The sequence below is a fragment of the Homo sapiens genome, chromosome 4 (assembly GCF_000001405.40).
Source record: "Homo sapiens chromosome 4, GRCh38.p14 Primary Assembly".
NCBI classification, from domain to species: Eukaryota; Metazoa; Chordata; class Mammalia; order Primates; family Hominidae; genus Homo; species Homo sapiens.
The window spans coordinates 151,884,974-151,910,500 of NC_000004.12; the positions used below are offsets into that span (position 1 = coordinate 151,884,974).

The 25,527-nt window shown below is 43.1% G+C and overlaps 2 long non-coding RNA genes across 3 annotated transcripts in view; one reads left to right on the forward strand and one right to left on the reverse strand.

Moving 5' to 3' along the window:
- The window catches only part of LOC127898557 (uncharacterized), a 140,693-nt gene that overhangs the window by 85,615 nt on the left and 29,551 nt on the right, over window positions 1-25,527 (forward strand). The gene's annotated exons all lie outside the window — the stretch shown is intronic.
- Window positions 1,973-25,197, reverse strand: LOC102724700 (uncharacterized). Of its 2 annotated transcripts, NR_188364.1 has the most exons (5): window positions 25,025-25,197; window positions 21,059-21,148; window positions 6,194-6,356; window positions 3,518-3,605; window positions 1,973-2,790 (listed from the first exon to the last, which is right to left on the reverse strand). It is a non-coding gene; the product is annotated as an uncharacterized LOC102724700 (long non-coding RNA). The 2 variants fall into 2 exon arrangements; NR_188363.1 differs by lacking the exons at window positions 1,973-2,790; window positions 3,518-3,605; window positions 6,194-6,356 and adding an exon at window positions 19,961-20,340.

The window sequence follows — 25,527 nt, forward strand, 5'->3', positions numbered from 1 at the left end:
CACTGGAAAATGTGGCTGAATCTTGCAAGGAACCATATGGCAAAGGTGGTGTGTTAGGTACTGAACAGCCACTCTCACCTTCTACTTTATGAAGAGAAGTCCAATTCTATTGGAGAAAACGTTGCTGGCTAAAATGCCTGGCTAAAAATCGCATTGCCTAGTTGCAGCTCAGGTTGTTCAAGTAAAATAGGTCAATGAGGGGAGGCCTGCTGGGGATATCTCAGAAGGTTTGTTTTCCTGTGATGGACAATATTCTTTCCTCCTTTAGCTCTTTTCGCTCTTCCTTATTTCCTTATTTCTTGTAACTTGGATGAGATAGCTGGAGCTCTGGCAGCTATTTTGTGAGAATGAGGATGAGAGCGCTACCCTAGGATGACAGAGCAACAAGCCAGAACGAGCTTAAGTCAATGACAACATTGTGAAGCCATCGTAATAGCCCCAGACTTCTCATTACCTCTTTCTTACTTAAGCCATGATTGTTTGGATTTTCTGCTACTTATAACATCATTTTATCCTTAATCATACATACCACCACTGCCTATAAGAGATAGAGCCACCACCACCTGTCTCTGTGAAGCCCACAGGCAGTGAGCCAGATGAGCAGCTAGTGACTGGCCCCAAAGGAGGGCCTCAGCTTCTCCATAGCAACAACAGAAGGAGAAAGTCCTCCCTCCCTGTCCCCGTTCTTACCCCAACACTGAAGGGAAAGGGGGAGAGTGTGAGTACAGACACCCCACCCCTGCCACCCAACGACTGCTCCATGCCAAGCCTCAAGAGACTTAAATCCGGCCCGTGGGACAGTGTGTGGAATAAGTGTTTAAACCACTCTTAAAAACTGAAAATGACTGTTTTAATAAACAGAAGTAATTGTCAAGTTTTGGAGTCAGGTTGAAATGTTGAGGGAGCCACTACCCAGTGCAAAAAAGGGATTGGATTCAGCAGAATTAGAGACAGTTTAGAAAACAACATTATTTCAATTCTGTACCCCTATAGAGTTAAAATATCTCAATAAACTGCTTATAACATAAATCTGCTTAATTTCAATTCTCTTAGATCCATCCCCACATCTCTATGTACTGATATGGAAAGATTTCCAGGACAGATCCTAAGTTAAACGAAAAAAGAGGGAAGTACAACACAGCATGCACAATAGGCTACCTTTGGAAAATAAAAGGGGGCAAACAGGAACTGCCCTGGAAACACATACCGGATTATCTACAGGGTGGATGGCAATGGAGGAAAAGCAGGATTTCTTAGAAGATATTTCTTTATATGGATTTGATTCTTGAATCATGTGAATGTATTCCCAAGTAAAAATTTTAAATTCGAAATGTTAGTGTCACAGAGTATTCAACTTTCTTACAGAAAAGACATTTAGATCAACAGATGACAAAAATAGGAGACTGCAAAATTCTTCCTTCCATCCACCTCCAATAATGAAATCAGTGTTTGTTTGCTGCTTTTTTTAGACAAATCTCCCCGTTTTGTAAAACAAGGGAGTATTTTTTGTTTTACAAAACTGAGAGATTTAGGTAAGCCGTGAGTTAGTGGAAACATCCGGAACCATATAAGGGAGCTTTAGCTTTTGTGTGAAGGAAAGAAAACAGTTTGTGACTTTAGCTGAAACAAATAATAATTAATATATTACTGTATATAATTGATTACTATAGTATATTTTATATTGATATAAAATATATTAGCATATTTATATATTAATATATTATTATATCCATATATTAATTTAATACAAGTAATATATTAATATATATCATATGTTATTATAATATAAAATTGTATATTATAATAACATATACTAATATAATACGTTACATATCTTAGTAATATGTGACTGTATATAATTTTATGTTAATTTATTTTTCAAACTTCTTGTGACCAGATTTTCTGTACCTAAGAGAAATTTTCTGTAACTAAGAGAACTTTAGCTGCAGAAATATAACACTAGTGAGAAATCTAACAAGTTTGTTTATTTAAGGCAAGGGTTGGCAAACTATAGCCCGTGGGCCCAATCCAGCCAGCTGCCTACTTTTTACAGCCAGTAAGCTAAGAATGGTTTTGACATTTTTGAGTGGTTATGTTTTAAATGGTTGTATAAATATCTACATAATGTCCTTGCTATTGCCTCTTGGCCTCCAAGTCTGAAGATGGGAAAACATTGCTCTGGGTTGGGTGTTTCTATTGTGCTAATGCCTCATTTGGTACCCAAAGCCCTGAAGCAACAAGACTTAGTTGTGTCTCGTTCCAGCTGCCAGATGCAGAGAAGGCCTAGCATGCATAGCTCAGTATGTCACCGGCCCATGAATGTGTCTCTTAAATACAGAAAAGACGACACGTCAGCCTGTTGCAATGGGGTTCTGTGGCTTGAAAAAGACCTCTGTATTGTATATGAATCTTAGTAATTGGAACTTGGACTCATCACGTCTTTTTTAGCAATGACATTGTAACAGCATGCACCCATCCATCATCGTGTCATCCTTATGAAAATGGTCTCCACTGGTCAGCTTGTCATAGTTAATTAGTCTTCCAATGTATGGATAGTCAGAAGCAAAGCGACTTTGAGGTTTTTTTTGACAATTTTAAAAGTGAACTCCAGAGATACCTGATCTTTCCTGCCTTTTAATTAGAGCCTTTTCATTTGAGGAGGAGAGTGTCCTTGTGGTTAGGAGTACAACCAGCCTAGTTCTGCTTCCCATTTTCAGTTCTGTAGGCGACTCATAGCAACCACAGGCAAGTCGGTGACTGAGTCCTCCAATATGTGCAGTACAGGAAGTTCTAGAATAAAATGCAGTTAGCTGATTGCTACTCAAATGTAGATATTGTTGATATCTTAGTGAGAAAAGGGTAGTGTATTAGATACCGCTATGAAATCTCTAAACTTAGTAGTTTAAAAAAGATGAACAACCATTTGTTTAGCTCAAGATTCTGTAAGTCATCAATTTAGTCTGGGCACAGCTTGCTCTGTCAGGCACCCACAGTCAGTGGTGTTGGTGTGTTGGGTGGATGGGTGGTTGTGTTCATCTTGGCTGGGCTCTCTCATGTCTCAGGCTTTGGCTGGGACAATGAGCTATGCCTCTCTGCTCCGAATAGCTTCTTTTCCCACAGCAGGCTAGCCCAGGCAGACATAGGGGTCTCGAAAGAGAGTGAATGTGTGTAAGAAATCTTAAAGCCTAGGCTTGGAATGGGCAAAATATGACTCCATCATATTTTAATGGTCAAAGCAGGTCACAAGGCGAGCCTGGACCCAAAGTGAAGGGAAACAGACTCTACCTCTTGATGAAAGGGGCTTCAGGGTCATGTTTCAAGGGCATGGTTGCAGGAAGAAGAAGGGTTGTGGTTATTTTGCCATCTACCTCTGGGAGCTAAAACATGAAGGAACACATGCAAGGTGTGAACCGGCCCTGCTGCCAGACAAGGTGAGGGGAAGAGGCCATGACCGTGAAGTCTAGATGCTAAGCTGTGAGAGAGGGACTGATCAGGGGAATTCAGTGACCTCACGTACAGCAGGGATATAGATGATACCGCTGTTTTTCCCCGGGTCTCATTTCTGGCAGAAGAGAGTGAGGGAGCCTCCAGGAGAGAAGTCAGACCTGCAAAGGATGAGTAGGTGTGTGAGTAGCACCATGGGGGGTTTTGGTTAATTTAGTGAAGAAAGAGGGTATTTTTCCATATGCATTGGGAAACCAAGAGTGAACACAGGCTCTGAGTTCAACAGGCTAGTGGAGAGGAAAGAAAACTGCACGCAGGAAGGAAATCCCCTGAACCAAGAGGCTGAGGTTTGATGTTGTGAGCTCAGCCTTCCAAGGCAGACACACATGACTTCTAGTTGTGGTGTGACACCTTATTAACTGTGTGACTTTGGGCAAATCACTTTACCTCTCTAAGGCTCAATCTCCATATCTGTAAGATAAGGATAATAATATATGCCTCAGAGTACTGTAGGGGTGACTAAAGGAGATAATCCATTGTAATATGTCTAAATCGATACCTGGCAGGATAACGGCTGTCCATGAGTGTCCATTGTTACTAACCTTCTTACTTTTGTTGCTATTGATTTTTCATGCATGGCCCACAATTCTAGTTTGCAGTACTGGCCACACTGATGAGCTCTCCTAGTATTTTAGATGAACAGTTTCATGTGGGTGTACCACTATCAATTCTAAAGTAACATACATTGAGATAAATGAATTGTCCCTTCATACAATGTTCCTTTCCCAAATGTTTGTATCTGTTCATTCAGCACCACCATTTAGCCACCCAAAGAATCTTTGTTTCCTTCCTTCCTTCAGACCTCATATCCGGTCATCAAACTATGACATATCTCTCACCCTGTACTTCCCATTCCATTCCCCGACTACCTGCAGAATCTGAGTTCTCACTTGATGCTTTGAGTACCACTTCAGAGTTCTTACAAGTTTCCCTGCCTCCAGGCTCTCTATGCTTTCATCCATTCTGCATCTTGTTGCAAAATTGATCTTCCAAAAAACAGTCCTTTGCTGAAAGCCATCAATGGTGCCTCACTGCTTACCAGCTGACTTCCAAACACTGAGTTTGACGTACAAAGCTCTCCACAACCTGACCCAGGCCTTGTTACTAGACTAATCTTCCAAGACTCCGGGCAAGATCATTTGGCTTTAGACATTTTTTGTATCTCTATTTTGTGTTCCCAATAAGAGTGTGAGCCTGTAGAGCAGAGGTTGGCAAACCATAGCCTGTGGACTAATTCTGTATGATCCATAAAGCTAAAATGTTTACTATCTGACACGTTATGGAAAAGTTTATTGACTCTTGCTCTTGGGGGTAGAAGCGTGTCATAGATGACTTTGTTTTTCCTACAGAACCATGTACTCTTCAATGAACATTTATTGACCTCTAAGCATCCCATTTCTCATTCCTGTAAATTTGTTTCCTTCATAGAGGGCCTTCTTCTCTTCTGCCTACCTGGATGAACCTTTTCAATCTTCTTGGACCCACATCAAATCCTCTGGAAATTCTGACTCTTGCTCAATTCTGAATCCCAACAGCACTAAACCACACATCCTGTGTTCATCTTCTGCTTCCAGTTAGTTCTTTGCACCAGAGTAGGTCGTGAACCTAATTGATACCTGGTGCTTAGCTACCATCTGGTTATCGTCTGCCCTTCAGTACTCAGTAGATATTGTCTGGCCTGGGAAGTATTCTCTGACTCTGTCATTCTTCTCCCCCACAACTGAGTTAGGAACCCTTCTTCATACTCCTCCAGCTGCCTGGACTTTCCATCTTGGCCCTTGTCTTTGTGTACTGTGATTGTTGATTTACTTCTAAGATTCTCCAATTGGACTGTGACCTCCTTGAGGACAGGCTAGTGTCTAATTCACTGATGTATTCCCAGCACCTGGCATGGTGCTGAAGACACTCAATTCACATTTTTGAAAAAATAATGGATTGATGCAATCAATAGTTGCTGATTAATTACATGCTTGATTAAAATATTGGTACTATTCCTCATGGCACCCTATTTACATGCTTCAGTTCTCTAACTAGTCTATTATGTATAGTCTAGTTATACATAGTAACTGGACTTAGTTATAATAACAACCTTTCCTTAGTTATACTCTATAGCTACTTTGTATCTCTCGGTATTAGTCAATGCCTATCAACTTTTATATGACTGAGGTTATCAGGCCAAAACTGGGGGCAACCTGGGAGAAACCAAGCTAGGCCATCCAGGTCTTTGGCAAGAAAGACATGTGCCTTTTTTCAATCCCACTTTCTTTCCTCGACTGTGGGCTACTAAAACAAATAGCAGCTCTCCCTCTTTATGCATTAAGCATTTCAAGGACAGCCTGGCTGTGAAATAAAACAATCCAGACAAATTATTGCACACTCATAGCCAGATTTCTGAATCAAGCCTGAGCCTGCCTAGAGCGCCACGTTCACCTAGCATAAAATAATACCAAATGTTTGGACTTGGAAACCATTTGCCAAATGTTGGGCTAATATAACAAAACACACACATTATCAGAGACAGAAAATGGCATCCTGGAAACAGCTTAACCCACTGCAAATGAGATGTAAGAGCCTCGTTCAGCAGAAAAGTTCTTTCCCACTCTCGGGCTTCCCCTGGAGCTGTTTGCTGCTTGAACCTCTCTCATCTACTCTCGGTTTTTCCTGGGAGCATATCATATATTGCAATCACATTTCACTTAGCTGTCCATGATCAGTTTCTCAAATGGGAATACATTAGAGACAGGTTGTGAATTGGCCAGCCACGTCAGCCCCGATCTCCTTGCAGTAAAATGGATGCAGAATAACCACATTTTCCCTTCTCTCAATGTGCTGGTGGCTTCCACAGGAACCCTCTGGAAATGAAGCATAGAAAGAAGCTCACCTGACCAGCCAGAGAACAGACATTTGGCGTTTTTAAATGCCTTTTAAATGTCTAGATAGATGGTATACTACCCTGTAGCCTTTTCAAAATCTGTAAGACATGCTGTGAATGCTGTTGTCTAAAAACACCAGCCCTGGAAAACCCTCCAGGTGTCCGGGTGAGGAAGGCAGCAACCTCACCACTTCTGGAAAGAAAAGGTACTGACTTGCTTCAGGAAAAATCTCTTTCTACCAGATGACAGGACAAGGAAAAGCTAGCAGAATGTTTTGCTCATAATTTTTATCCGATCAATCATGTGTGATAAGCAATGCAGTTTTTGGCCACAAAAACAATACGCAGGATGGGAGATTGACTGCTTCAAGGGCTGGCAGGAAAGGGCACATTTCTTCAGGATGACATCAAAAGTCACTTGTTGCCTTGAGTGAGTGGTCAGAATTGCAAGTTCAGTGGCAATGGATGCTTTCATGTAAAGCCCCATGGCCGGAAGACAGCTCTCAAGTTGATGCTCAGTTGCCATGTGCACCTGAGACATCCCAAGGGGCTCAGCAAAGCAGGAGAGCAGTCCAGTATTCCCTGGGGCTGTGGCCCCTAAGTCCAGAGGAGAAGGGTCATGAGGAATGTGGTGGTCGGACCCATAGAGGTCTGAAAAGTTTGCTTTTGCTTTTCCTTCCCAAAGTTTATACCCAAGTTGCACTTGTTACCACTCTCTTTTGAGGAAAGGCAATCCAGAGTCCATAAGCCATGGACAAGAGTCAGAGAAAAAAAAGAATGTGCCACCCAACCTGGGCCTCCTCAGCAGTGTGAGGTCTGACCTCCCTGCTCAGCTAGGGAAAGCAGGGGAGATAAGACAGGGCTGATCCTAAGGTCTCATCAGCATCCTTGACCTTGGCAGAGGGCAGACATGCAGACGTGGTCCTTGTTTGCCTGGGGGTGAGGGGTGGAAGGAGCAGGGGGAGTGGAGGAGAACGGCCTTGCTTTGCTGCTGGAGACCAGCAAGGGCCATTCAGTAAACAAAGCAAAGTAAAGCAAATGACAACAGCAAAGCAAGGTGTGAAAGAGAGAAGGGTAGCTTTCTGGGGAGTCTCTGGCAGGTTGAGGTGCTGCCTTGCCCAGAGAAAGGCTGTAAGGTGCTGGTGTTTCCATGATGCCAAATGGGTGGGGACTGCCACAGGAGAGGCTGCAGACTGCCCTGAGCCCTGGGCAATTGGCCCTGCTCATCACAGTCCTCTTCAGTCATTACCATTGCCTCGTTAGCTTCAGCAGACCTCTGGCTTCAAAAGTGGGAGTTAGCCTGAATCACCGATGCTGGAGAGAGCAGAAGGTGGGCAGCATGGAGAAACACCTAGGGGAATGCACCTGAGAATCCCACTGCCATCCTCCCCAAGCCTGAATCTGTCTCCTTGCTCAATCATGTAAGGGAACATTCCACCTGCTCCATCGTTTGGCTTTGAGAACTTCCTGTCCTGCTTTCTTTGAGAACACTCCAGGCTTCCTCTTGTTCTTTTGTTCTTCATATCTCACCTAATTTCCCAGGCATTCCCATACCTCGATGCTTGTCAGAACGTGGTTCCCCAGCCCTAAGCTGCCCTGAGAATCCTGACCGGAAGCTTCCTGCTCATCCGTTTGAGGACCCATTACTTCAATGGGCTGCTCTGAAGAAAAAAGAGAAACAGGGTTTACTGCCCATCAGTGTAGAGTTACAGAGCAATTCCAATCAGCCTGTGGTGTGGCACAGCTCTTCCTATGGGTGGCTGTGCAGCAAAGCAAGACTCTCCACGGAGACAACTGCAAGGGATGAGGAGGAGGCCAAGGGAATCCAAGACCTTCCTGCCTTCCTTTGCCTTTTTCAGCTTCTCAGAGGCTTTTAGGAAGAAGTCCTGTCCCTGCTTTTCAGATAATTCAGTAGCTGTTCTTAGATGGCCACCTTAAAGTAAAAAAGAAAGATGATGGTTCTCTACATTTATGTAGTGTTTTATAGTTGTAAGAGCGTTTTTTATCTCCCTACCTAAACTGTATCGCTTTAGGCCTAGGATGGAAATTAACAGGAGGAATCACAAAACTTCGTTACTCCAATCACAAATTTCAGGCGAGAATGTTTGTCTTGTCCTGGTCCAAGCTAATGTTGACCTCTCTGTTAACATATTTTGGATCAGATTCCAGTGCACCTTTTTGCCTGTAGAACTGAATGAATTCTGTGGTGCTGTTAGCCTGATGCAACCACTGGCTTGTTCCCCACACCAACCCTAAACCCTGTCAGTTCCCATTGAAACTGGTGATTTCACGGAATTCTGCACCCATATGTGATATGCACTTCTTTCCTCTCTCTCTCTCCTGTTCCCCCCTTAGCTCTCTTCTCTTTCTTTCCCTTCTTTTTCTTCTCTTTCCTTTCCTTTCCATTCTCTTCCCTTTCTCTCTCTGTTTCTGTCTTCCTCTCTGCTAGATATTGTTTCTTGTCAATCAGCATTCATTTGCAATTGCACATATACCCTTCTTCATATCTCAGGGGCTGGAAACCTGGAGTTCATATTTCTCAGGCTTCCTTGATTCCAGGAAGGCAGAGAATAGGGTCTTCTTCCTCTGGCAGAAAGAGGTATGGCAGAAATATCAGCTGTGCTGGATATGAGTTTTTGTAGCAGACTTCGCATTCTACTGTCAGTCACAACTTCAGGGCCAAGAGGCAGCTACAAAGCCAGCAGAAGTTTCCTGCAGTTTTCTGACCCTGGGATATTAGTATGTCCCAACTTTATAATCTCTGGATCATGAGGTTACAGGTTACAAGTTTCAGGTACAGTGGTGTAATCTGAAAACTAGTGGCACCTCCTCTAAATTACCTTCCTGTAGCACAGCCAATAATTTTGCTCACATTTTATCTTCTTCCTGCATTGCTTAAAAGTCAACCTTTTTGCATAAAATACTTAGAGTAGTGGTTCTCAAAGACTGGCCCTGGACCAGCATTATCATCATCATCATCATCATCATCATCATCCGAGAACCTGTTAGAAATGCACATTCTTGGGCCCCATACCAGACCTACTGAATCAAAAGCCCTAGGGACAGTGCCAAGCAATCCAGGTTAACAAGCCCTCCGGGCAATTCCGATGTAAACTAGAGTCTGAGAACCACTGACCTATTGAGATGTTTATTTTCTTATCACAAACCATGACTGATATACACACAACTTCTCAATGTGTGCTGCTTTTTGTATAATTATAAAATACTATGTTTCATGTAGAAAATTTGGAAAACTACAAAAAGTGTGAACAAGAAACCAACCCCCACAAAGTCTGACTACTGAAAGTTAACTGGGCCAGGCGCAATGGCTCACGCCTGTAATCCCAGCGCTTTGGGAGGCTGAGGCGGGTGGATCACGAGGTCAGGAGTGCAAGACCAGCCTGGCCAAGATGGTGAAACCGTGTCTCTACTAAAACTACAAAAATGAGCCTGGTGCAGTGGCAGGCGCCTGTAATCCCAGCTACTTGGGAGGCTGAGGCAGGAGAATTGCTTGAACCTCGGCGGCAGAGGTTGCCGTGAGCCAAGATCGTGCCACTGCACTCCAGCCTGGGGGACAGAGTGAGACTCTGTCTCAAAAAAAAAAACAAAGAAAAGAAAGTTAACTATTATTACCCTTATTTTTTTCTAGTCGTTTCTCCATGTATACACATTTATACATATAGTTATATAACTGGTTCATCAGTTTGTATCTGATTATTTTCCCCACATAACATTAGATTAGGAACATTTCTCTGTGCCATTATATACGTTTATTTAAAATTTACTTAATGTTTCATGTTATTGAAGTACCATAATTAATTACCTACTCTTCCAATGATAAATGTTTATGTTATTTCTGGGTTTTGCTGGTATAAGTGAATGCTACACTAGATACCCTTATATAAAATATTTCTCCAATCCTGATTGCTCCATTAGCATCAAAGGATAAATGAGGATATGGAAGAGAAGAGAGACTTAGGCAGGACAGCCCTGGGCCCTTTCAGAGCAGTGGCTCCTTGTGTGTAGGGGTAAGCAGAGACCTCATGAAACTTACCAGTTAGGAATCGAGGTGGGAAAGAAGAGAGGAACTTAAGAAAGATTCTTTCTATTTCTGAGCTTAAATAACAGTTGTGAGAGTAGAGGCATCTCAGAAGGAAGGACAAACAAAACGAAGCAAAGCAAGTGATTCTTCTTTTGACACTCTAGATATTCACCCAAAAGGTAGTATGATTTGAGGCCAGTCCACACTTGTTGTTTATGAAGACACGAAGACTTCAGCTTTTTCCCCTGATTCAAGACATCAGCCTGGGGAGGCTGAGTCCATTCTCATGTTATGGTGGCATTTGCATCTATGCTAGATGGGCTGAGGTCACCCTGAAAAGTCCAGGCCTTGTTGTGCTAAATCCCTATAAACCTCAGTGGGGATGGCACCAGGTTTAAGAAGCCAAAGAAGGGACCCAGAGCCAGCAAACGAGACGTGTGGTTTTACTGGGGGCTTACATACAGGGGAGAGTGCAGCGGTGGAGATCTGTGCAGAAGAACCACATCCACTTGCAAAAAGCATGCAGTTTATACAGTATTTCCACTTTGTACCCTCCCCCTAAAAACCTCCACCTGGCAATTTTCATTTAACCCCAAACTCAGGGCCTGAATGCCCTGTAAGGCCAGTGTTTCACAGGCTGGGCTGGGGGCTCAGATGTTTTTCATAGATAAGGAATTATTCTCTGAACACACATTCAGGTGCGTCTGCCATACAGGGTCACTCTCAGGGTATGCTCGAGTCACTGTTGCCAGGTGAATTTATTGTATGCTCCACCCCAAAATGCCCTTGAGTGGCCCTCATGTTCTTATCATCTATTTTTCTGCAATTTCCCTGGGACCAGGCATGCAGAGGAACATTGCAGCCAGATGCCATGCTGCAATACAAACTACAGAAACAAAAAGTCCTTCCGTGTGCTGGGAATTGAACCTGGATGCCCATAGCAGTCCCACTGTGGAGGAGAGGGGTCAGCTCTCCACAGACCCAACAGTCTGTTTTGTTCTGGAGAGAGGCCACCATCTGTGTCCAGTTGGTGAAGAGGTTTGCTGCACATCATCTATGGGCAGAAGATGAGATGTTTAGTGGGTACAAAAAAGGGCAAGTCATGACCATTTAACAAGACACAGGAAGTCGTGGCATTGAGAGAGCACTGCCCTTGGCAATGGCCTGGTGCCTGGTTTACATCAGTGGATTGGCTCCCATCTGTGACATGTGGTGGAAGGCCGGAGCAATGGCACCCAATGTTTCACAGTAAGAGGGTAATCATCCCCTTGCCCAAGGAAGGACCAGGACTCACCATTCCAGAAGTACAAGAGGGAATAGGGTGCAAAATAGGTGTGATTTGTGTATCCTGTTCCAGGCCCTTCCCCCAAGGAGTGGGAAAAGTGAACCATCGTGGGCTAATTTGTCATTTCCAGAGCCACATAATGATATGCTCCCTAGACGATAGGTCCTGAGGCAAGGGCAGTTGTAGGTTGTCTCCAATACCAGGCCAGTGCAAAGCCATGTTAGGAATGGGGCCCTGTCCCTCCTGTATGAAGGAGGGAATCCATGGAGGTCCAGCAGACTCTGTCAAAGACTGCTTCAGTTCAGGTGACAGGTGACAGGGCCAAGCATTGAATGGAGCTCAGTGCTCAAGGGGCTACCCGTCAATGTGCTCCTCTGTTGGAGGCATGCATGCCATGTGGCCACAGTCTGCATCCGGGCATTCCCAGACCTCAGTCTCTGGAAGGTATCCTGTAGCCAACTTGCCACAGGATACTGGGCATGCACCAGCACTGGGACCCCCTCTGCAATGTCCTCCATCTGTTGCAAGGCACAATATGCAGTGCAGAGCCACTGCTCCATGACACTATCATCCACCTTCAGCCCCCTGCCATAATTGGGACCAGAATCCTAAAGGCACATATTCATTTCCTTGCCCTTGCCACAGGCCCCACATAAAACCCTCAGGGTAACCAGCTATGTCCATTTCACAAGGCTGTACCTGCACAAGAGTCCCCGCATCCTGTGTTTCACTGCAACTTTAGCTTATTCCAAGGCCTCATCCTTCCTTGTGGACCCATCACAGTGGGCCCCCTTTTTGACTAAGTGGTATGGGGGCCTAAGACGTTGGGCCAAATGGGGAACAAAAGAACACCCATACCATAGAAGGCCTAGGAAGGTTTGCAGCTGCTTTGGTGTGCTACAACATGGGTAGACCTGCACCCTATCCATAATGGCAGATGGAATGACTTTAGTCTTACCCAACAAGATGACATCCAAGTATTTGACTGCCAAGCCAAATACTTGGGTTGGGACTACCAACCCAATTGAGACAGCAGAGTGTGGGCTGTAGTTTGTAAACTGGAAAAAGACTCAGAAGTTAAATATCCCTGGGGCTGATGGTAAAGGTCCATTATTCTCTTTCCCGGGTGAATGCAAATTGGCTTTGATTCTGGGGCAATGGGAATGCTTAAGAAGGCACTGGCTAAATCAATAACAGAATGGTACATGCCAAGTTCCTCTCCTACCCTCATATGTAGGGAGATGATACTCAGAGGAGGAACAGCTGCATACACTCTGGGGGACCACCTTATTTAGTTTCCAGTAATCCACTGCCATTCTCCGTGTCCATCAGGCTTCCATACAAGCCATACAGGGCTACTGTATGGGGCTGGCAACTGTGCTGGTGTCTATTTCATGTTCCCCTGATCACATGCTTCACCACCCCAACTCTCAGTCGGAGTTCCCTGGCAGTTGTTTGGGGGCTCACAAGATATCCATTCCGAAGATGTATTCTGGAATGGGAGCTATGTATACTAAATAGGGTTTTGGTGGCAGTCTCTCAACTGGTAATACTAGTTCAACTTGTCTGACTTTCATGGCCCTCCGGCCCCATAACCATCTATTATTATCACAGGCCCTTGGAACACATGAATGTTACCATATGTATTAGTCCATTCTCACATTGCTATAAAGGAATACCTGAGACTGGGTAATTTATAAGGAAAAGAGGTTTAACTGGCTCATGGTTTTGCAAGCAGTATAGGAAGCATAGAGGCTTCTGCTTCTGGGGAGGCCTCAGGAAACTTCCAATCATGGTGGAAGGCAAACAGGGAGTGAGATGTCTCACATGGCAAGAGCAGGAGCAAGAGGAGAGGGGCAGGTGCCACACACTTTTAAACAACGAGAACCCATGAGAACTCAATGATCGCAAGGACAGTACCAAGAGGATGGTGCTAAACCATTCATGAGAAATCCACTCCCATGATCCAATAACCTCCCCCAAGGCCCCACCTACAACATTGGGGATTACATTTCAACATGAGATTTGGTGGGGACACAGATCCAAACTATATCACCATATATGAGAGTGCATTTGGCTCACTGTATCCATGAGGCATGCACAGTCTGTTATTTTTAGGTGACCAAAATATAGCTCTACATGTGGCCTCTGGTCCCTGGACAGCCTGGTCGTCGTTGCTCTTATTGGGATCCTGGGGCTTTGGCCTGCATCCTAGTTAAAGAGGTTGGTGCCTGCCATCTCTCTGTGGGAGGGGCAGTGGGATGTACCTGGGGCTCCTTAGTGGAGCTCTTCCAACTTGAGCTTCTGCCCCAGTCTGACCAGAACAGCATTCGGCTGTTTATCTGTTTTCACAGCAGGTGTCCCTGCCACTAAGAGGTTGTGCCGCATTTGTTATTGGCTCACCCTGATGGGCCCCATGGCTGTCTCCTTTCTTTATATTCCAGCAGTGTGTACCCTTCACCCATGTAGTACCCCCCCACCATTTCCTCCAAGTCAGTGTCTGCTTGAGCCACAATAGACACTGGCTGTCGTACCAAGGGGCTCAGGATAGACACTAGTGTGCCATACCATTGGCTGGTGCCAACTATAAGATGGTGTCTTTCATACCAGCACTGAAAAGCTCACTGTTGGGACCTTGGTAATGCCCCGCATAGACAGCATGCTTCATCCCTAATTCCTAGAGGATGTCCTGCAATTCTTCCACAGTCTGTCATTGTAAAGGAGATGTGGGGCATCTCCCTTACTTGGCAAGGCTGCCTTGCAGCCTACAATCACCCAACCAAGGGCACAACCTGATCCCCATTACCAGCACCACAGAGGGGCTGCCTCGAGACCCAGTGGTCTATAATGGATGCCATTTCACTTACGGAGAGTACAACACCCTCTGCCTCCATGTCCCAGAGACAGAGAAGCCACTCCACAGTCAACTCTCTCCCCTTCTGCCTGAACCTATTTTCCAGCTCCACCAATTCCACAGTTGTGTGGTCCCACATGGTGGTGCACTGCGGTCTTCCAGGCAGAGGCAAATCTTGCAGGGCTACCAGCTATGGGCACACTGGGTCGGCTTTTATCTTAGTGGTGACCATCAGATGCACAGAGGGGATGGGAACCTCTAAAAGCTCATCCCAGTCTTCACTCTCCTCCCCACTAGAGCTCTCCATAGGGTCTCAGGACTTAGGGTCTCAGGAGGATTTAGTCATGATAACTCAGACCCATTGATATGGCGGCTGGTGACCGTTCAAATGGGCTACCCGACAATCCAGGGTCTCCATCTTGTCATCCTGTGCCTGCAGGCAGGACAGTAAGCTCTCCAGTGTTTCAGCCTGAGCTAACCTGGCATCTCTTTCTAATTGCAGTTCATCCTGTAACTGACAAACACTTGCCTACAATGTGAACTCAGCTTCAGTGGCTACTCTGTAGAGCAGCCAGCCAATTGCAGCTGCCACCACTTGGGCATCTGACCCTTTGCTCAGTCAGATCCATCTCCTTCAACAACTCTTCCAGATCCTTTAGCATTTTGGGGGCATCCCTGTGCTCACATGTTGGACCCCATCCATCAAGGATAGTGGCTTTCAGGTCCCACATAGATATGGACGGTCAGCTCAGAATTTCCCCTGTGGATTCCCCTTCCCTGATCCCACCATCTTGGTGCTCACAGGATTTTCTCCAGCCTTCTGGATAGCTCACCAATTGTGCTAAATCCCTATCAACTCCAATGAGGATGGCACCAGGTTCAAGACGCCAAAGAGACCCAGAGACAGCAACTGAGACATGGGGTTATTGGGGGTTTACATACAGGGGAGAGAATCCAATGGTGGCAGGCTGGCAGGAGAACTGCTGGTCCAGTGGTGGTGGGCTGGACAGAAAAACTACACAGCCCAGTGGCAGCAGGTTGGGCAGGAGAACTGCATGGCCCAGTGGCAGTAGGCTGGGCAGAAGAACCACAACCACTTGCAAAAAACATGCAGTTTATATAGCATTTTCACTTAGCACCCTTCCCCTAACAGCCTCCACCTGGCAATCTTCATCCAACCCCAAACTCAGAGTCTTGATCCCCTGTACAGCCCTTGTTCCACAGGATGGGCTGGGGGCTCAGATGTTCCTCATAGATAAGGAATGAATCCCCTCCAAACACACATTCAGGTGTGTCAGCCATACGGGGTCATTCTCAGGGTATGCGCAAATCATTGCTGTCAGAGGTGTTTACCATATATGTCTGGGCACATTATAAGTGTTTCAACAATATTTGCTGACTGAATAAAAAAAATTAAAAAAAATAGATGGATAGAATATTTCTGAAAGCCCAGGCATATATACTATTATCTCAAATGCCCCAGATTTAGTGATTCCCTATAAAATCCCATGCCTAGAAATGAATCCACTTCCCAGCATGCGTGGCACAAATAGGCATTCTTCCCTCTTCTCCTCTTGTCAATTAATCAACAAATACTTATCAAGGATCTACCACATGTCTAGCACTATTCTTGTGCAGGAAATAACAAAGTTCTCCCTGCCTTCAAGGAGCTTATAGTTTATTTTTTACTTTTTATTTTTAATTGACAAAAAATAATTGTTCATATTTAAGGGATACAATGTGATGATGCGATGTTTTGATCGATATATACACTGTATTAGAAAGATTCAATCAAGCCAATTAATATATCCATTTTCTCACCAACTTATTTTTTGTGGTGAGAATGTTAAAAATCTATTCTTTTAGCAATTTTGAAATATGTAATACATTATTATTAACTGTGCTCAACATGCAGTGCAATAGATCACTAAAGCTTGTTACTCCAGCCTAAGACTTTATACCCTTTGATTACATCTTTCTCCATCTCTACCCCTCTCCCCCAGCCTCTGGTAACCACCTTTCTACTCTCTGTTTCTTCATGGAATATCTTTTTCTATCCCTTCACTTTCAGTCTATTTGTATCCGTAGAGGTGAGATGAGTTTTTCTGGGCAGCATAGAGTTGGGCCTTATATTTTTATCCATTCAGCCACTCAATATCTTTTGATTGGATAATATAATCCACTTACATTCAAAGTAGTTATTGACATGTAAGAGCTTATGTTTGCCATTTTGTTAATTTTTTTCCAGTTAATTTGTAGATCTTTTGTTTTTCTCTTCCTTTGTGGTTTCATGATTTTCTGCAGTGGTATGCCTTAAATTCTTTTTAACTTTTGTGTATCTACTGAAGGTTTTTGCTTTGTGGTTACCATGAGACTAACATAAAACATTTTATACTAATAGCAGGTTATTTTAAGCTGATAATAACTTTGATCACTTGCATAAATTTTACTCTTCTACTTCCTCCTAATTTGTTTGGTCACACATTTTGTATGTTTTATAATTTGTGTCCCTTAACAAATTATTGTAGCTATTGTCGTTTTTAATAGTTGTCTTTTAACCTTCATCCTAGAGATATAATTGATTTTCAGATGACCATTATAGTATGAGGTTCTGAGTTTGACCATATATTTACTTTTACCAATGAGTTTTATATTTTTATATATTTTTATGTTGCTACTTAGCAACTCCCCCCCTTTTTAAGTCTGAGAAAGTGATTATCTCCTTTTCATTTTTGAAGAGTAGGATTTCCAAGTATAGTATTCTTGGTTGGCAGGTTTATTTATTTTTTTTTATCTTTCAGCTTTTTGAATATATCATCCCATTCCCTTCTGGCCCACAGGATTTCTGCTGAAAACTCTCAGAGAGTCTTATTAGAGTCCCCTTAAATGTAACCATCACGCATGTCCGTGTGAAGAGACCACCAAACAGCCTTTGTGTGAGCAACAAGGCTGTTTATTTCACTTGGGTGCCAGTAGGCTGAGTCCAAAAAAGGAGTCAGCGAAGGGAGATAGGGGTGGGGTCATTTTATAGGATTTGGGTAGGTAGTGGAAAATTATAGTCAAAGGGGGTTGTTCTCTGGCAGGCAGGGGCGGGGGTCACAAGGTGCTCAGTGGGGGAGCTTCTGAGCTAAGAGAAGGAATTTCACAAGGTAATGTCATCAGTTAAGGCAGAAACCAGACATTTTCTCTTCTTTTGTGATTCTTCAGTTACTTCAGATGTATCTAGATGTATATCTGCCGGCTTGGGCTCAGAGGCCTGACAGTAACTGTCACTTTTCTCTTGCAGCTTTCAATATTCTCTCTTTGTCTTTAATGTTTGACAGTTTTATTGTTATGTGTCTTGGTGTGAGTCTCTTTGGATTCATTCTATTAGGTGTATGTTGAGTTTACTGGATTTAGGTTTTTATTTCCTTCCTCAGAAGTAGGAAGTTTTTGCCATTATTTTTTTGAATATGTCCTCTGTCCCTTTCTCTTTCTCCTCATCTTTTGATACTCTGATAATGCACATATCATTCCACCTGATGATGTCCCATAGTCCCTTAGGTTGTCTTCACTTGTTTTCTTTCTTTTTTCACCTCATATTGTATGATTTTCTATAAACCATCTTTATGTTCACTATTTCTTTATTCTGCTTGATCTAGTCATTGTTAAAGCCTTCTACTGAATTTTTGAATTCAGTTATTCTTCAGCTTGATGATTTCGGTTTGTTTGCTGCTTCTTCTTCCTTTTTTTTTTTTTTTATTAAACTTTATTCTATCTCTCTGTTGAAGTTGACAGTTTTTTCATGCATTGTTCTTACCTTGGTGAACATCTTTACAACTGTCCTTTTGAATTCCCTGTCAAGTAAATCACCTGTCTTCATTCCATTGAGTCAGTTTCTGGAGATTTATCTTGTTCTTTTATTCAGAAGATGTTTTCTTCATTTTCCTGTTTTTTCATTTTCCTTCACTCTCTGTGTTGGTCTCTGCACATTAGATTTAAAAAACTACCTTCCCTAATCTTGTTATACTGCTCCCTTTTGGGAGCTGCTCCTGCCCAATTTGCCTGACCAGACATTCCAGGTGCCTCTAAACTGTTTGTGCATGTCCCCAACCTGCTATTTTTGTTCTTAGTGGTCCAAGAAATTCAAGTGTCATGTGGGCGTGGTGGCACACACCTGTAGTCCTAGCTATTTGCGGGGCTGAGGCGGGAGGATCAACTGAGCCTGGGAGGTTGAGGTTGCAGTGGGCCATGATCATGATCATGCCACAGCATTCCAGCTTGGGTGACAGCATGAGACCCTGTCTCAAAAAAAAAAAAAAAAAAAAAAGAAGAAGAAAGAAAAAGGAATTAAAGTGTCAAGTTGTGCTATTGTCTTAGGAGAGGTGGGACAGAAGCCAGAACTTTGGGATGCAGATGGTGTTAGATGTATGTTCTAGTTCCTTCTTCATTTGCAGGGAAACTGAGAGCTAGAGTTTATCTGCACTCATTCTGCTCTACATCAAGGAAAGAGTCTGGAGCAGATGCTTGTACTCTTGATCAGACTACTCACTTTGAGATGACTGCTGAAAATTTACAAGTTTAAAAGTTACCTTTTTGTTCTCAGTGGTCTAGGAGACTCAGGAGTGCAGAGTGTGTCAACTCCCATAGTGAGGTGATTTAGGAGCTAGTCCTTCAGGTGAAAGCTGTAAAAGTTGGAGCATGCAGAAACTACTTCCAGGGAGTCTGCAGATTTGAATTTATTTCTGGAGCAAGCCAGGGAAGAAGGTGTGGAGAGTTCCCACTCTCCTGTTTGAGCAAGCAGAAGTTTCACACCTTCCTAGCAAGGGGAGATTTCTGGTCTGGAGTTATCACTGAAGCAAGCCAGAGAGAAAGGTGCAGCGAGTGCTCACTTTCTCTTTCAGGAATGGAGAGATCCCCCAGCATCCTCCCAATGACAGATTCCAAGACTTTATCTTTAGAGTAAGCCAGGGAAGATGGCACAGGAAATGCTGTCATTCTTGCCAGCATAGTTTTCCAACCTCTTTCTACAGAGAGATAGCAGGGCTGGGATTTTCACCACTGGAGCAAGCTGGGGAAGGAAGTGCAGAAAGTGCTCACTCCCCTGTTCAAGAAAGAAGTCTCAGACTCTCTTTACAGAGGGAGCATTCTGGTCTGGAGTTATTGATGAAGCAAGCCAGGGAAGAAGCCACCGGGAATGCTCACTTTCCCTTTTGGGCATGGAGAGGTCCACCAACCTCCCTTTAATAGAGATTGTAGAGATTTATAGCTTATTTTTTTGAAGACAGACAATAGATATTCAAAACAAATCCATAGTTCTATGAGAGAAATTAAAGAGTTTAGCTTGACACACAATGACCAGGTTTAACCAAACTGAGGTCTGGCTGCTTGCCGCTCAGAAGCCAAAACAAGAGAAGCAAGATGGAATGGAGGAAAGCAGTTTTATTCAAAGGCTAGCCATTGAGAAGAATGGCTGGACTTAGGTCTCAAAGAACCATCTCAAATTTTCAGGCTAAGCGAAGGGGGTTGGGAAGGGAAACTTGGTATGGGAAGCATGTGGGAGTGGTGCAGGGTGGAGGTCGGCATATCTTGCTCCAATGGCTATCTTGAGTTGTTGTCCACCTGTAGAATGAACTGGGGCCATTTTGACAATGGTTGGGTTGAAGATTAACCACCTTGAGGCAATTTCTAGGTGGGGGAGACTTCCACAACTGGATCTCTATGCCTGGTTTATTTCAAGATTAGCCCCTGGAACTTCTAAGCAAGTACATCATTAGACAAGCAAATATGGTGCAAGGGAGTGTCTGGAATAGAAAGAGGAAGAAGGGTTTTCTTAAGATTAAGAAGAGAGAAAATGAAACTTCAAAATACATTTCGAGGTTAAGATACTGGGTTACATAGAGTGTGAAGAGTGTATGCTACTTTCATCATTTTATGGTTCCAGCTATAGCAGTGGAGGCTTACTGGGGGATGACCTGTCTTAGATTCATTTGCAAACCAATGATCCAGGCTCAGCATAGGTTTCAAATCACACCCAGCAGAGGGTGTGGCAGGTCTGGATAGGGTTTATTTTTTAATTAAAAAAAATTTTTTTTTTGAGAGAGGGCTTTGTTCTGGAGTGCAGTTGTGCAGTCATGGTTCACTGCAGCCTTGACCTCTTGGGCTCAAGTGATCGTCCTATCTCAGCCTCCCAAGTAGCTAGGACTACACCCATGCACCACCACACCAGGTTAATTTTTTATTTTTATTTTTGTAGAGATGAGATCTTGCTGTGTTGCTAAGGCTGGTCTCAAACTCCTGGCCTCAAGCAATTTTCCTACCTTGGCCTCCCAAAGTGCTGGGATAACAGGTATGAACCACTGAGCTCGGCCAGTTTTATGCCCTAAGAGGCTTCATGTGTTAGTGTCCTGGTTCTAGTGATGAGGGATAATGGTTAGCACTTGTCATGACTTGATTAGGAATGAAATAACATAGTGAATATATAGTAACCAATGTAATCAAAAACAGTTTCCTCAAAAATACCTGGCTGGGGTGGCAACTAGGTTCTTCTCTCAAGCTGATTCTGGTGTAGGAAAGTTTAAATTTTTCCTCTGAAGTTTCGATAATTTGAGTCTATAAAACAAATTGATAATAGTTGAAAGAAAAAAGGCATACACATTTATTGACGTGCATATGGGCATGAGAATCATACAAAAATATGAGGCTTAAAGATGGGGGGTTGATGATTGAAGTTTTATAACATCCTGAGATTACGGAAAAAATAGGGACTTGGAGCATGGCAAGACAGGTTACAAGAGGGAGAGAAGAGAAAAAGGCTAGCATAAGACCACTAGCCTGGCTAGTGAGGATGGTCTTGTTATGCTGATGAACCTCATAGGTAACAACCCTTAAAGAATAGATAGATAGTAGCCTGTAATAACAGTTTCTCTGTCAGACCTTCAAAGGTGTCAGACTCTGAGTCTGTCTCTCTCTCTTTCTCTCTCTCCCCATAATTTAATCTTTCCTAGCTTTGGACAAGGGGTTGCCTCAGAAAAGGTCTGTTTGCATGTCCTAGTTACTTCACTTTATTTCCTCCACAGATGCAAATCTCCTTTTCCCCGAAAAGGGAGGAAATTGCAAGGCTATTCTTGTGCTTGCAGCCTCTCTGAATAGCCATATCAAATTATGCCAAAGAAGTATATTTGGCTGGGCTCAGTGGCTCATTCCAGAACTTTGGGAGGCCGAGATGGGTGGATCACTTGAGGTCAGGAGTTCCAGACCAGACTGACCAACAGGATGAAACTCCGTATCTACTAAAAATACAAAAATTAGGAGGGCGTGGTGGCAGGCGCCTGTAATCCCAGCTACTTGGGAGGCTGAGGCAGAAGAATTGCTTGAACCCAGGAGACGGAGGTTGCAGTGAGTCAAGATCATGCCATTACACTCCAGCCTGGGAGATAGAGCAAGAGTAAGACTCTGTCATAAAAAAAAAAAAAAGTATATTTTAGGGTAAAATATTTTTTTGTTTCATTCACTGGTCAATTAGTAGAGGCTGTTTAGAACACTGTCTTTAGAGTTCCTCAATGAGAATTCCAATTTCAGAAGGAGTTAGAAGCAAGCTAAAGCAAAGCGAGTGATTATTCTTTTGGCACCCTAGGAATCAAAGAACAGTATGTTCTGAAGCAAATCATGCTTGTGTTTTCTGAGGACACAAGAACTTCATCTAACTTCTTTTTTGATCTGATCCGAGCCATTAGCCAATGAGAAAGGTGATTGAATGGTGATGTCTTCCATGAGTCCAGTAATAAGTATGCTTGTGTCCATCTGTGATGGTGCTTAGTCCTATCCAGGCCCAAATCCACAATGGGGTATAACTTTTCAGTAACTGCCCAAGGCTTAGGAAATTAAGTATTATACCAAAATGTCCAAAACACATGAGCATGAACCTGTAGTGGATGGTAAGCCTTAGTGGCTCACAGATGCAGTGTAGATTAGAAAGACTGCTGGACTACTGGATAGCATAATCCCCAGAGTCTAGTTTTTTTTTTTTTTTTTTTGGAACACTCACAAACTGCATGAACTTGAGAAGGTCAGTTTCTTTCCTAAGCATCAGTTTCTCCATTTATTAAAAAAAAAAATCAGCCCAATAATTCCTGTTCTTCCTACTTCGCAGGGATTTTATGACAATCAAATGAGCTCATACTTGGGAGAACACTTCACTCGGTGCTAGACAAGAACAAGCTATCATCATTAATTTGCTGGTGACAGGGAAAGCTGCTACTTCCTTTCCCTACCTTCTTTTTTCTTTTCTTTTCTTTTCTTTTTTTTTTTTTAAACAGAGGTAGTTATTTATGCACCAGAAAGAACAGTTAAATTCCTAGGCTGTGTGCTTCTCTTAGTGAAATGATTTAGAGCCATGTGTAAATAGCACATAAATTTATTATGACTCGGGTCCAAACTGGGGAATGTGTCTGTATATACACACACATGCAATCACCTCTCAACATCTAACAGTGAAAAATATTGCAGCCTTGTAAAAAACAAAGCCACCTTCTTCCTAACTCCTGACAGCTAAAATGTCCTTAAAATAAATGGGAAAGAAAGTTCACTCTACATAACTGTGCAATGGAGTTTTTATGAATCAGACAAATTTTGAGTCTCGCAGGTAACGTCAGACCTGAGAGTGATGTTTACACTCCTGGTATTTCAAGCTTAACTACTTGCTGCTGATTCGCCCAGATGGCTCTCTAGGCACAAGGATGCAGAATCTCTATTTATTTACTCCAAAGAAACAAACAAACAAAAAGCTGACCGTTGGACCAAGTTAATCAAAAAGTTTTTAATAGAGTCATTGGAGGACCAAGGCAAATGCCTGGAGCCATAAACAGGTGGCACAAATCATTTTTAGTCTTGTTAGAGAATGAGGAGCGGGCTGCTGCAGGGAGATGATTTCCTGCCTAATTAATCTGCATGTTGTCACCCTGGAATTTATTCATTGTGGGGCATGAATCCCATCTGTAAGGCCAGTTGTTAGAATTGGTGAGAAAATACTTTCTTTTTTCCTTATTTATTAGAGGAGAGAGGAAGAGAGAGAGAGCAGAGAGCTCATGTAGTTATATTTCAGCTTGAAGCAAATCAAATACTCCTTTGAGTCTTCAGTACTTGAAAGCAGCCAAATGGCTGTTGCAGGGTGGCCTGTTACTTTCTTATTTATGAAGGAATTTATATGTATGTGTGTGTATATATATCACATTTCCTTCATAAATGTATATATTACAAAACCACATATATATTACATTATATATGTGTGTGTGTACATATATATAACTTTTTTGTTTTTAGTGGCAACACTTAATCGGACAGAGCTGCCAGTCACTAAAGGTGAAGTGAGATGTTTTGATTAGACAATCAGTCAATGCTGCACTAGTCTAAATAGTGTCTTTGTGAAAGTTAGAAAAGGCACCCCTTGCTCAAGACATTTTACTTCTATTTGCTGGGAAATTGTCATACTACATTGAATATGTTAGAGTAAGACACTTTACTTCCACCTGCCAGAAAGCTGTCATTACACAAACTGAAACCTACAGTGTCTTCAGTGAGAAGACTACCTCTTTAGCTACATTGTTCTTGTGTACCACATGGCCTAAACAATTGCACACCGGCACCACCATCGATGGCAGCATTTAGCAAGCTGCTGGGGATGGCTGGCTGGTTCATATGGTCCCTGCCCTCAGGCAGCTCAGTCTAGCTGGGAAGACAGACATTAGTCAAAATAAGCATCCAAATACATGTACTATGACAAAATGGGGAAGTGCTTTGAAGCAAAATTTCAGGGTGCTAGGGGTCTTCTTAAATTGAAGATAAATGTGTATCTAGTGTTTAAAATAGTTCTTGGCAACACTCAACTGATGTTTACAGGATGAAAATTTCACAAATTACAACCATCCACAAAACGGAGGTGTGTGGAAATAGAGCTTTCTTTGTACAACTGATTTTAATATTTGATTCCAAGACCCACCAAGCGGATAGTATCAAACAGTGATGTTTGCGTAAATCAGTTCAATATAGTGACTTCCAGTTAAATTCAATCCCCAAGCCCTTCCAACCTCTGTCTGTGGCTAGTTTAAGCCTTCAGAGAGAGACAGATGATTCCCTGACTCTTTGTGGTTGGGTCACAGGCTGCTGGTGGATGCTCCTTCCCTCACCCCTCCAGGCAGCCTATTCAAACTGGGATGTCAATGTCCCTGCTTATGTGTGGGCCTCTTTCTGAATGCTGAAAGCCCTGTTGGTCCCCTCCAAGCCACTTTTAAGGTAGGGCCCATCACAACCAAGGGCAGCCAGCTGCTGTTCCTCTGGCTTGTGCTGTGCCCATGTGTAGGATGGGTCTTTGGTGCTTCCCCTCCTAAGCTGCATCCAGGGGACAGATTGGCTTAATGCTCTACTGTCACCATCTTGAAATTCATAATCATTTTATCTTTAAACTTGTCTTTTGTGAAGTAGTGCACCCACCTGAGCAGAGGAGAGGTGTGCATAATGCATGCTGCCATTTCTTCCTATCCCATTTGCACATAGCATTAGTGTTAATTCCTTGTATCGACCAACCACTTAAGTGAAAATGGTGACATAGAAAGAAAGGGAAAGAGAGAGCAGCCCATAGTTTCTTTTGTCTTCAGTCCTTCCTTAACTCATCAGTAAGTCAAAGGTAGAGAATGTCAGTAGAATGTGTGTATGTCACAAAGGGAAATAAAGACAGCATCTCCCCTTTTCTGGAAAGGACAAAATACGTATGCACGTACAAGCTATGAAATACAAATTGTGCAATGTCAGGCCTTCTGCATATGAGTTAAATGCTCTTAAATTTGCATTTAAAGCTGGCATTGCACAATATAAAGTAGAATGGTAAAATTCGGGCTAATAATTTTAAATTCTAATTTTTCTTTACTTAGAACAACATTAAATAGCAAATAAAAAGCTCCATGACAAGTTGAGAGAGAAAGACTGCAGAAGAAAGT